At 39.1% G+C, this 12,772-nt stretch overlaps 1 long non-coding RNA gene across 7 annotated transcripts in view; it reads right to left on the bottom strand.

Annotated features, from left to right (window-relative positions):
• The window catches only part of MIR4435-2HG (MIR4435-2 host gene), a 299,296-nt gene that overhangs the window by 10,441 nt on the left and 276,083 nt on the right, over positions 1-12,772 (bottom strand). For 3 of the 7 annotated variants that reach the window (NR_136165.1, NR_136161.1, NR_136166.1), the window contains one exon: positions 1,467-2,355. The exons of 2 other annotated variants lie outside the window; for them this stretch is intronic. This is a non-coding gene — a long non-coding RNA (MIR4435-2 host gene). Of the gene's footprint in view, positions 1-1,466; positions 2,356-2,449; positions 2,672-12,772 lie in introns of those variants that run through there. 2 more of the 7 variants (NR_015395.2, NR_136164.1) reach the window with 2 other exon arrangements.

Here is a 12,772-nt window from a genome sequence, read left to right on the forward strand (position 1 = left end):
AACAACTTCTGCCTCTACTTGCATGGCTTCCCAAAGGCTGGATCCTTGTGGGAATGCATTTCAAAAGGGAAGAATCAACTGATTTCGGGGCATGCAATCAAGACCCTAGGTATCAGTATGAAGGAGTTCTTCATATAATCTGGATATGAGCCTCAGTTAGGTATATGTATAGTAAAGAGTTTCTCCCAGTCTGTGGCTGCCCTTTTCCCTTTATTCATGATGTCTTTTAATACACATAAATTTTAATTTTGATAAAGCCCCAGTCACCTCTTTACAAATTTTATGCTTATTGCTTTTTTGTGTCTTAAAATATCTTTGCCTACCTGAACATCATGAAGACATTCTCCCATGTTCTCTTCTCAAGAACTTTACTATTAGTTTTCAGACTTAGGTTTATGATCCATCTCAAGTTAATATTAGTGTTTGGTGTGAGGTAGGTGGTCAAGATTTTTTTTCCATATGGATATCTGGTTGCTCCAGCAACATTTATTGAAAATAACTTTCTTTTTCCTATCTAACTGTTTGGCACCTTTGTCAAAAATCATTTGACTATAGGTGTAGTCATTTTTATCCAACAAGTTTTTGGGTGGGTGGCCGCAGACATTTGGTCTGGAGCTATACTACCTGGACAAGAATGTATCAGGGTCATGAACTTGTCCTCATAGTGCAAAGATTTCTGGTCACTTCCATTTCCCAGTCACCTTTGTGAATTACTACTTGGAAGTTTTATGATACCACCAAGCCTTGGTTTTGCTGTCAAATACCCAAGGTGCTTGACCCCTCCCTGCCACAGTTTCCTTATCGGTAAAATGGTATAATGGCAATAACTGATGCATGGGGCTGTTGCAAGATCAATGGGGTCACGAATGCAATGAGAACACTCGCTATTGCCTGTTTCCTCCTTACCACTGTGAGCTCCTTGAGAGCAGAGACCATGTTTTATGAATCTGCATTTCAGTGCTTGAAAGGATACCTGGCATATGGCAGGTGTTTCTTAAATGTATGGAGAATAAACTATATTCTTTTAGATGGTGTAGATAGAACCATTTGTATGGCAGTCTGTTGTTATTTTATTCCTACCCAATCCAGGGGACTTGTCTGTCTTTATCTTATTTGACACACTTGACTGCTCCTTCCTGAAGCCCTTTATTCTCTTTGCTTCTAGAATACCACACATTTTTTGCTCTCCTCCTGCTGTACTGAATGTTCTTTCTTAGTCTTCTTGGTCATGCCTGTTGCCTCTGCTCTAAGGACTTTTCTGCCCAGGGATCGTCTTCCACCCCTTTTCTTCTCTATGCCACACTGTCTCTCTTGGTGATCCCTTCTTCTCTCATGGCTTTAAGTTCTATTTGCTCACAACTCCTGAATGCCTGTATCCATCCTGAGCCCACAGTCATGTACGCCATGACCTACCCCACTTAGGCTTAACAGGCATTTCACTTCAAAGTAGTCCAAAACAAAGCAGGAGATTTTTCCCACATGTGATTTTATTTCACTCTGTCTTGAGTTCTCAAGTTTTTCAAGACAAAATCTTCCGAGTCAGTCATGGCTCTTCTCTTTATCCTCACTCCGCTTCTCTAGTTCTTTATCAGGTCCAGTTTGACTCTATCTCTAAAACCATTTCTGAATGTGTCAATTTCTTTCATTCTAACTGGCTCTACTACAAGTCCAAGTCACCATCCTCTCTTGACTGGGCTACTGCAGTGGACTCTGGCCTGGTCTCTAAGCTTTCTTTCTTGAGGGATCTGGTCATACCACTCCCTATGCAAAACCCTGTTGTAGAGCAAAGTCCAGGCTTGTTGCTTTATCCTAAAAAGCCCCATGGCAAGGGCCTCTGCCTGACTCCTTGACTTTGTGGACAAATGGGTTTATCTATGGGGAAATAAGAATGCAACATTCCTGACATCATGGAGGCCCAGCCTTCTATCTAGAGTTATATAACATCTTGGAAGGTTCCAAAGGCATTAAGTCAAGTCCAGGTTTGTCAGTTTCTCCAAAAGATGTCAATGAAAACTGCATACGTCTTGCAGCTGAATATCTAAAGTATCAATTGCCTGAAAAATACTGATGAGCAAAATCCACTGGTGGCTACAAAGGTGATTATAAAGCAGTAGTGACCTAGTCGTGGGGAGATAGCACACTGAGTTAAGGAAAGCTTGTGGGTGTTCTGGCCAGACTGACCTAGGTTCAAATCCTTGCTGTGCCCTGTCCAGGGAATGTTAGCTGCTGAAGCTCTCTGGGCTTTATCAGTAACAAGGGGTGATTTTGCCCTTTGAAGTTTGCTAGAAGATTTTCTGACAGAGTGTCCTTTTCAGCGAGTGACAGAAATGCAGTAGGTAGTCTCTTTCTCCTTTCCTAGAGATGAAAAGAAACAGGAGCTGATGAGAAGTTCTAGGCCTATTGTTCTAGAATACCCAGGCCTATTGGTGTACTGCCCCTTCTACCCTACCTCAGCATGGTGTGGTTCATTCTGGAAAAGGCTCTGCAGAGGCACGAGATTTTCTGGCAAGAAGCAGATTGCTGCTTTAGATGGCTGTGTCCTGGCAGGACCACCTTAATGACTTGTCTCAGCACATTTAGGGTGTCAAAAATAGCCCTTAAATCTGGGCCCCTTCATAGCTCAGAAGAACCTGGGCATAATGTAGAAATTATTCTCTAGTGAGAACAAGATCTACAGGGTGGAAAAATAGAAACCTTAAAAGTTAGGAAATAACAAGAACAGAAAAACAGTATACCTTGTAGATTATTTTTAAATGACCAAATTGAAGACCATGGGATTTTTTTTTTTAAACAAACAAGCTAGGAGACAGTGGTTAGTTTTGACATTGATGTAGTTGTAGGGAACTCTAGTTTGTGGTCAGCCCAAGGTACTTTCCATGCACATGAATCACCACATGCACTTAACTTGAGCAGAGCTCAATTTCAGATTCTTTAAACCAAAGTGAAAAGCCCCAAGTTAGGTTAACTGGCAGGCACATACTGTAGACAGCCCAGATCTGGGAATTTTAAAAAAAGTGTGTGGAAACAAACATATTTTGGTGGTTTTTGACATAATTATTGTCTCTTTCTCACAGTGATTTGCATAATGTTGCAGAGGTGTTGCCTGGCAAGCTCCAGTTAAAGTTGCAGATTTTGTGTGCACCTGTTTGCAGGCTAGATAGAGAACAGTCATATGCAAGTAAAATCTTGGTACCCTCCATTGCTCGATTTACTTTTTTGAGCAGGCTTATTGCTGTATAAATAACCTACAAAAATTCCACATATTTGAAGTGTAGATATGTTTTTGCATATGTATATATCCATGAAACCATCATAACAATCAATATAGTAAATATTTCTATCACTCCCAAAAGTTGCTTCATGTAATTTATAATTTCCCTCCCAAGCCTCTCTTCCTCACTACTAGTTTGTTTTATATCACCAAAGATTTTCATTTTCTATAGTTTTATTAAAATGGAATAAAGAGTATATGGTCTTTTTTGACTGGTTTGTTTTACTTAATATAATTATTTTTGAGATTTATGCATGTTGTGATTATCCATTACTATTATTTTCTTTTTTTTCTTTTTTACTGAGTAATAGTCCATTGTATGGATATATCACAATTTGTTTATCCATTCATCTGTTGATGAACTTTTGAGTTGTCTCCAGTTTGGGGCTATTTACCAATAAATGTACCATGAACATTGGTGTACAAATCTCTGTATGGATATCTGCTTTCTTTTCTGGTAGAACTGAGAGGCTGGGACATGTGGTAGGTGCATGTTTAACTTTTCACGAAACTTTAATCTGTTTTCCAAAGTGGTAGTTTGATTTTACATTACCAATAGCATTGTATGAGAATTTCATTTCCTCCATATCCTCACCCCATATGGTCAGTCTTCTTAATTTTAGCAATTCTAAAATACATGTAGTGGTATCACATGGTGGTTTTAATTTGAACTTCCCTAATGATGCTGACATCTTCTCATGTGCTTATTACCATCCATATATCTTCTTTGGGGAAATGTCTGTTGAAATCCTTTGCCTATTTTATTTTTAATGGGGCTATTTTCTTATTATTGAGTTTTAAGAATTCTTCATATATTCTGGATATAAGTGCATTATCAGATGTGTATTCTTGGCAAACATTTTCTCCCAATCTGTGGCTTATTTTTTCAATCTCTTCAGAGTATCTTTCAAAGAATGAAAATTTTAAATTTTGATAAAGTCTAATTTATCAATTTATTTTTTATGGACTGTGTGTTTGGTGTCATACCTAAAAACTCTGCCTAACCCAAGGTCATGAAGATTTTCTTTTATGTTTTCTTCTAAAGGTTTATAGTTTTAGATTTTACATTGAGATCTGCAATCCATTTGAATCACTTCTTTTTATATAATGCACGTTTGCATCCAAGTTCATTGTTTTTGTCTGTTTCTGCATACAGGAATCTAACTCTTCCAGTACTGTTTGTTGAAAAGGCTATCCTTTCTTCATTGAATTGCTTTTGCAATATTGTCCAAAATCAGTTGTCCATATTTTTGAGTGTGTCTATTTCTGGACTTTCTATTTGGTTCATTGATCTTTTCCTCTATCTTGCTGCTAGTACTAGAATATTTTGATCACTTGTAGCTTTATAATAAATCTTGAAAGCAGATAGTTTTAGAACTTCATCTTTTCTCTTTTTTAAAGTTATATTGGCTCTTTTGGTTTTGTTCGCACTTCCATATGAATTTCAAATCTGCTTTTCAATTTCTACAAAAAGCCTGCTAGAAATTTGATTAGCACTGCATTGGGAAGAGTTCTCATTTTAGCAATACTGAGACTTCTGACCTTTAAACAAAGTATATCTCTCCGATTATTTAGGTCTTCTTTAATTTATTTCAGCAATGTTTTGTAGTTTTTAGTGTACAGGTCTTACACTTATTTTGTCAGATTTACCCATAAGTATTTCTTTCTTTTTTTTTGAGACAGAGTCTCAGTTTGTTCCCCAGGCTGGAGTACAGTGGTTCAATCTCAGCTCCCTGCAACCTCTGCATCCCAGGTTCAAGTGATTGTTGTGTCTCAGCCTCCCAAGTAGCTGGGATTATAGGTACAGGCCACCATGCCCAGCTAATTTTTTGTATTTTTAGTAGAGACAAGGTTTTGCCCTGTTGCTCAGGATGGTCTTGAACTCCTGGCCTCAAAGGTATCCACCCGCCTCAGCCTTCCAAAGCAATGGGAGTACAGGCAAGAGCCATAACGCCTGGCCAGTATTTCATATTTTTGATGCCATTCTAAGCAATTGAATTTTAACATCTGACAGTTCACTACTAGTACATAGAAATACAGTGATATTTTACATTTTTTCTGTGTTCTGACATGTTGCTGATGTGGTTTGGCTCTGTGTCCCCACCCAAATCTCATCTTGTAGCTCCCATAATTCCCATGTGGTATGGGAGGGGCCTTGTGGGAGACAATTGAATCATGGGGGTGGGTCTTTCCCATGCTGTTCTCCTGACAGTGAATGGGTGTCATGAGATCTGGTGGTTTTAAAAACAGGAGTTTCCCTGCACAAGCTCTCTCTTTGCCTGTTGCCATCCACATAAGATGTGACTTGCCCCTCCTTGCCTGCCGCCATGATTGTGAGGCCTCCCCAGACATGTGGAACTATAGGTCCAATAAACCTTTCTTTTGTAAATTGTCCAGTCTCAGGTATGTCTTTATCAGCAGCATGAAAACGAACTAACACAGTTGCTAAACTTACTTTTAAATTCTAGTATGTAAAGTGTACATTCCTGAGGATTTTATATATACATAATTGTGCCAACTATGAATCTTTCCAGTCTATGCCATTTATTTATTTTTCTTTATCTGTTTTGCTGGCTAATATTTCCAGCACTGTTAAATAGAGTGGTGAGAGCAGACACTTTTCCCTGATTCTTGAATTTAGAGTAAGAAAACTCCATCTTTTATCATGAAATATGATATTAGCTGTAGGTTTTTCATAGCTACCCTTCAATTGTTCAATTGGTTGAGAAAATGCTTTTCTATTCCTAGTTTTCTAATAGTTTTTAATCAGGAATGGGTGTTGGGTTTTTTTCAGATTTTTTTTCTACATCTATTTAGATGATCATATTGCTTTTATTTTGTAGTTAATAGTGATTTACATTGATTGGGTTTTGAACATCAAAACCCAATCAATGTATTCCCGGGATAAACCCTTCTTGTTCACCATGTTTTATCCTTTTTACATATTGTTGGATTAGATTTGCTAAATTTCTTTAGAAATGTTGCATTTATGTTCATGAGAGTTAGTTATTCATCTATAGTTTTCTTTGTTTCACTTTAAAATCAGAGCAATAATAGGCTCATAAAATAATTTGGAATTATTCTCATCTCTTCAATTTTCAGAAAACGTTTGTAAGGATTGTTATTTTTCCTTCTCTTAATGTTTGGTAGAGTTCACTAGTGAAGCCATGTCAACCGGGAATTTTCTTCATGCATACATTTTAAACTAAACATTCAATTTATTCCGTAAATAGAGGATTGTCTGGGTTCTTTCTTTCTTTTTGAGTGGGCTCTGGTAGATTGTGCCTTGCCAGGAATTTATCCATTTTATCTAAGTTTTAAAATTTATAGGCATAAAAGTTTACAATACTTCCTTATTATCCTTTTAATATCTGTAGAATCTGAGTGATCCCACCTTTATAAATCCTAATATTGATGAATTTGTGTCTTAAGTAATTTTTTAAATCAATACACCTAGAGGTTTTTAAATTTTATTGATCTATTCAAAGAACTAGCTTTTGGTTTTATTGATTTTTTCTATTTTTTTCTGTCTGCTATTTTATTGATTTTTCATTCTGATCTTTATTATTTCCCTTTTAATGCTTACTTTGGCTTAATTTGCTCTTCTTTTCTAATTTTTAAAGTGGAAGATGAGGTCATTGGCTTGAGATGTTTTCTTTTTTCTAAAGTAGAAATCCAGTGCTGTATATTTCCTTCTACATATTGCTGAAGTGGCATTCCACTATTGTTGATATATTGTGTTCTCATTTGATTATTTTTCAAGATATTTTCTAATTTTCCTTTTGATTTCTTATTTTACCCCTGGTTATTGACAAACACATTACTTTGTTTCCAAACCTTTGGGAATTTTCCAGATAGATTTCTGCTAAAGAATTCTATTTTAATTACAGATTGCTCCGAAAACATACTTTGTTTGACTTGAATCCTTTTAAATGTATTATGCATTGTTTATGGCTCAGAATATAGAATATATCTTGAAAAATGTTTCACGTGCCCTTGTAAACAATGTGTATTCTGCTATTTCTGCATGACGTGTTCTATAAATGCCAAGTAGGTATATTTTATTAGTAGTGTTGTTCAAGTCATCTATATCCTTGGTGATCTTTTTCTTTACTCATTCTATCAATTATTGAGAGAGAGGTATTAAAATATCTAATTTATATCTGTATTTGTTAATTTCTCCTTATAGTTTTATTGATTTCTGTTTTATGTACTTTGGAGCTCTGTTATTAGGTGCATAAACATTTAGGATTATTATGGTCTCTTGACAAGTTGATCCCTTTAACATTTTTAAATGTTCTTCTTTATGCTTGATAATATTCTTTGCTTGAAATCCACTTTTATATTAATATAGCCACTCTAGATTCTTTGTTAGTCTTTACATTGTATCTTTTTCCCATCCTTTTTCTTTAACATAGTTATGTCTTTACATTTAAAGTGCCTTTTTGTGTTGGTAAAAAGCACATAGTTGGATTAGCATTTTAAAAAATCTAATTTGACAAATTGCCTTTTACTGGTGTTGTTTAGGCCATTTACATTTAATGTAATTATTCATATAGTTAGGTTTAATTCCTGTCATCTCACTGTTTTTCTCAATTTATCCCATATGTTTTTGCTCTTTTTTCTGTTTTTCCCTGACTTTTTTCAAATTGATTATTTTTATGATCCAACTTTATCTCTTTTGTTGTCTTATTTGCTGTAACTCTTTGTTATTGTGTTATTTTCATATTTCTTAGGATTAACAGAACACATCTTTAACTTATTATAGCCTACCTTCAAATGATATTATACCAGTTCGCGTATAGCATAAGAAACTTACAACAGGATACTTCCATTTCTCCCCTTCTGACCTTTATATTATTGTTGTCATTCATTTTACTTACATACATGTTAACATCACGCTACATTGTTATTACTTTTGTTTAAATAATTGATTACATTTTATGGTCATATCCACTTTTCTTTCTTTCTTCCTGAGGTCCTGAAGTCTTTTGTTATTATTTCCTTTCTGTTCTGAGCACTTGCTTTAGTCATTCCTTAAGGGCAAGTCTTCTGGTGACATATTCTTTTAGTATCCTGTCATCTGAAAATGACTTTACTTCCCCTTCATTTCTAAGGAATAGTTTGACTTCTGGTTTGCAATCCAGTACGTAAGGAGCTTGGAAGTTGTCACTACATCCTAACAACAAATAAAAGGCTGAACAAACTGATTAATTAACAACTCTTAGATCCATCAGAGAAGTGAGGTTTACTGCCCCTTAAATTGGAAAGACTGACAAGAAAATACTTAGAATCACAAATTACTGCAGCAGAAACCCTTGAGCAGAAACCTTTGTGGGAACCAGTATGGGGTAGAAAAACCTGAACTGTAATTGATGAATTGCTGGGCATTCACAGTAAATAAGTATGAGAGTTAAACAGTCCAGGGGGACCCATTCAAAGGAGGGCCTCCCACTTTTGTGAGTTCTGGTTTCAGGAGTTCAACTAGGTTCTCACAGTGAATATCAGAAAAAAAAAAAAAAGATCTTGTTCTTCTGGTGAGGAGAGGGAGGAGGAACTATTTGAAGTAAGTCAGATCATTCTCTTCTAGTCAAAAAGGCCTGGCCTCAGGAGAAACTATTTTATCAGAGCCTAAACTATTGGGATTTTATCAGAGCCTAACCAACCTGGAAGAAAGGAAATAGCATGCTCCAGCATGCCTTAGCCTTCTACATAGGGGAAGAGAAATACTCAACTTCAGTTCATTCTAGCCATCTTGTCCTGCCTAAGGGGAGTGTTGGGGGGGTCGAGAAGCTCTGTTTGAAGTTCACAGTTTAGAGACACAGGCTCACTAAAAGACTGAGATATAAAACTATAGAACACTTTTCTCCTTCTTGCACTGTTACAGGATCTTTGGGGTATTGATTTTCTGGCCAGAAACCTCTGTGGCTGGTGGCATCTTTGCCTTAGTTCCTGTCTTGCCTCTAGAAGAATGAGGTATGCAAACAAGTGAAGGGTGAACAAGACAAAGAAAGCTTTACTAAGTGTTAGAACAGCTCAGAGGAAACCCTTAGTGCATAGCTCCTCTCTGTAGGCAGATCATCTTCTCTGTAAGCAGATCTTCCCATTGAGTGCTCAGCTCTCAAGCAGAGAGGAGGCCCTGGAGAGGGTAGCTCCTCTCTGCTATTGGTCATCATCCTGACATCTGCTGCTCTCACCAGAAAGGAGGCCCTCGAGAAAGTTACTTCTCTCTGCAGCTGGTAGTCCCTATGTCTCTGCAGGTCTCTGAAGCTCTCAGAAGAGAGAGTAGTTCCTCACTGCAGCAGGCCATCTGTCCTCCGTCATCTGTCCTCTGCCCTGCTCTGGCTGAGCCTGGGGCTTTTTTGGACCTTAGAGGGAAGAAGTCCCTGTTGATCAGTTCATGGAGGGCCATGGGCAGTCCAGAAAAGGCACCACAAGTCCCCACTCCATTCTGCTGGTCTGGCAGCCTGGCTCCCAGCCTTCAGGCCCTCCTTGGCCTGAAGGTGGGGTCTTACTGGCAACCCACCCACTTCCACCCAGGAGCCTGCCTGCCTTCTTGCACTGTTACAGGATCTTTGGGGTATTGATTTTCTGGCCAGAAACCTCTGTGGCTGGTGGCATCTTTGCCTTAGTTCCTGTCTTGCCTCTAGAAGAATGAGGTATGCAAACAAGTGAAGGGTGAACAAGACAAAGAAAGCTTTACTAAGTGTTAGAACAGCTCAGAGGAAACCCTTAGTGCATAGCTCCTCTCTGTAGGCAGATCATCTTCTCTGTAAGCAGATCTTCCCATTGAGTGCTCAGCTCTCAAGCAGAGAGGAGGCCCTGGAGAGGGTAGCTCCTCTCTGCTATTGGTCATCATCCTGACATCTGCTGCTCTCACCAGAAAGGAGGCCCTCGAGAAAGTTACTTCTCTCTGCAGCTGGTAGTCCCTATGTCTCTGCAGGTCTCTGAAGCTCTCAGAAGAGAGAGTAGTTCCTCACTGCAGCAGGCCATCTGTCCTCTGTCATCTGTCCTCTGCCCTGCTCTGGCTGAGCCTGGGGCTTTTTTGGACCTTAGAGGGAAGAAGTCCCTGTTGATCAGTTCATGGAGGGCCATGGGCAGTCCAGAAAAGGCACCACAAGTCCCCACTCCATTCTGCTGGTCTGGCAGCCTGGCTCCCAGCCTTCAGGCCCTCCTTGGCCTGAAGGTGGGGTCTTACTGGCAACCCACCCACTTCCACCCAGGAGCCTGCCTGCCTTCTGCTGTCCCTGTCCCCCTGGCTGCTGGCACCAAGAGGCACCTGCAGGCCAGCACTGAGCAATCCTCAGAGCTCCCCTCTGCTTCCCCTCCTACTCTCATTGGTACCCAAATTCTGGAGGGGGCTGGGGCAGCAGGGCACTGGCTTGCCAGCACTGATCCAAGTGTGTGCAGACCATGCCAAACTGTGATAGCACCCGGCCTTGGCTCCAACCCTGCTCTGATATGGGAGCCTGTGCCCGGAGCAGTGAGAAGCCAGGCAACTGGAGAAGACACCCCTGGGCTTATGGGTACCGGGGTCGGGGGGCCTTCCCTGGCCCCTAAGGGTGTAGGTTGCAGAGACACCTAGGTCTTGTACCTGGGAAGGTGGCTGCAGCTGCACCCAGGGAGCTCCCACCCTGCCAACTCAGAAGGGGTGGGGTTCCTGCTTGTCCTTGGCTCCTGCCGGCTTGGTGGAGCAGAGGCCCAGGTCTGCACTTGTGGATCTGGTGGTTGCACCTGCACCAGGGAGGGCAGAGATCCTCCCTGCTCCTGGCACCTGCAAGAGCACAGGGAGGCTCTGATCGGCAGCCACAGCTTGAGCAGCTGCAGCCTTACTCAGGAAGGCAGGACTCCTCCCTGCTCCATGGAGCAGGAGGCCTGGGTCTGCAGCTGCAGCTGCACCCAGGAGGGCAGGGACCCTGCCTGCTCCATAAAGTGGGAGGCCTGGGTTGCCAGCTGTGGTTTGGGTGGGTGCATTGGCACCTGGGGAGCTGCTGCCCCAACTCAGAAGGGCAAGTCTCCAGCTTGTCCTGGCTTCCAGTCTCCTAGGAATGTGGAGCCCCAGCTGTGCCTCCCTGCTGCAGCTGGCATGATGGCAGCGCTGCTGCCATCAACACCTCACTACCACATTAGTAAAGACCAACTTTCTGCAGTTCCTTTTATCCAGTATCTCATATCTGACTATTAAAAAACAATTACAAGGCATGCTAAAAGACAAAAAAAAAATAGTTTGAAGACACAGAACAAGCATCAGAATTAAACTGATATACCTAGAATAGTCTTACTAGGTAGAGCATTCAGAATTGCCGATTTTTTTAAATCACTATTTATAAAATGCTGTGCCACTTCTTTCTGGCTTAAGTTTTACAAGTAATGTATTGTTTCCCCTTAACCTCTCTTAAGACCTTTTTCCATCTTTAATTTCCAGAAATTTGAATATGATTTGTCTTGGTATGGATTTCTTTGGATTTATCCTATTTGGGGTTTGTTCTACTTTATTCTTTTTGAATCAGTGGGTTTAATGTCTTTTGTCAAATTTGGGGAAATTTTAGCCATTATTTATTAGATTATTTTTTTCAGTTGAACAGTTTTTCTCCTTACTTCTAGGACCCTGATGATACAAAAGCTAGATTTTTTGTTATCATCCATAGATCTCTCAAACCATTTATTTTTTTTCTAGGCTATTTTCTCTATATTGTTTACACTGAGTAATTTCTAATTATCTGTCTTCAAGTTTGCGGATTCATTCTTTGTTGTCTCCAAACTACTTTTGAGGCTATCTGTTGAGTATTTCAGTTATTGTATTTTTTTAGGTTTATAATTTCTAGCTCATTACTTATTCAATATCTTATATTCCTTTACATAGATTCTTTTATTTTTAATTTTGTTTCAAAAGTGTTTTTAATTGCTCATTTAATAATTTTTTACACTTGATCTTAGCCAAAAGGCCAAGAGGCAATCATTTAATAATTTCTGCTAACTTTGTATGTGTTTGAAACTTCACAATAAAAAGGGAAAACAGATGCAGTTTTTCTGATCTAGGGAAGATGCTGACCACTTTCTTCATCTGTAGGAAAAACCAAAACAAGAAGGAAATGAGACTAAATGATTATAGAGGAGAGTATAAACAGCTTAATTAAGAAGATATTTCACCACTAGGAAAACTTCCCATGCAAAGTGCATCCTAGTGCCTGGTCATCTCTCAAATTTAATGTTTACTAGTTTTAATCGCAAGAGTAATAAATAAAAACTAATGATTCATTTTGCAGAATAATAGGTATACTGTAATCCCAGTTCTCATACATTGGAGAAAAACAAAATTTAGAAAATGAGATTCCTCTATAGTCACAGCCCTTATATCACCGCTCTCAATGGTTTTGTAAACCATTCAGATTTCTTTATGTGTGATTAGAACTGGGATTATATTAGACCTATTATTCTGCAATTTCTTTTTCTTCTTTTTTGCCTAAATATTCTGCTAAGAGAGTTTGTGAAACAGAATAA

The sequence above is a fragment of the Homo sapiens genome, chromosome 2 (genome assembly GCF_000001405.40).
Source record: "Homo sapiens chromosome 2, GRCh38.p14 Primary Assembly".
Classification (NCBI taxonomy): domain Eukaryota; kingdom Metazoa; phylum Chordata; class Mammalia; order Primates; family Hominidae; genus Homo; species Homo sapiens.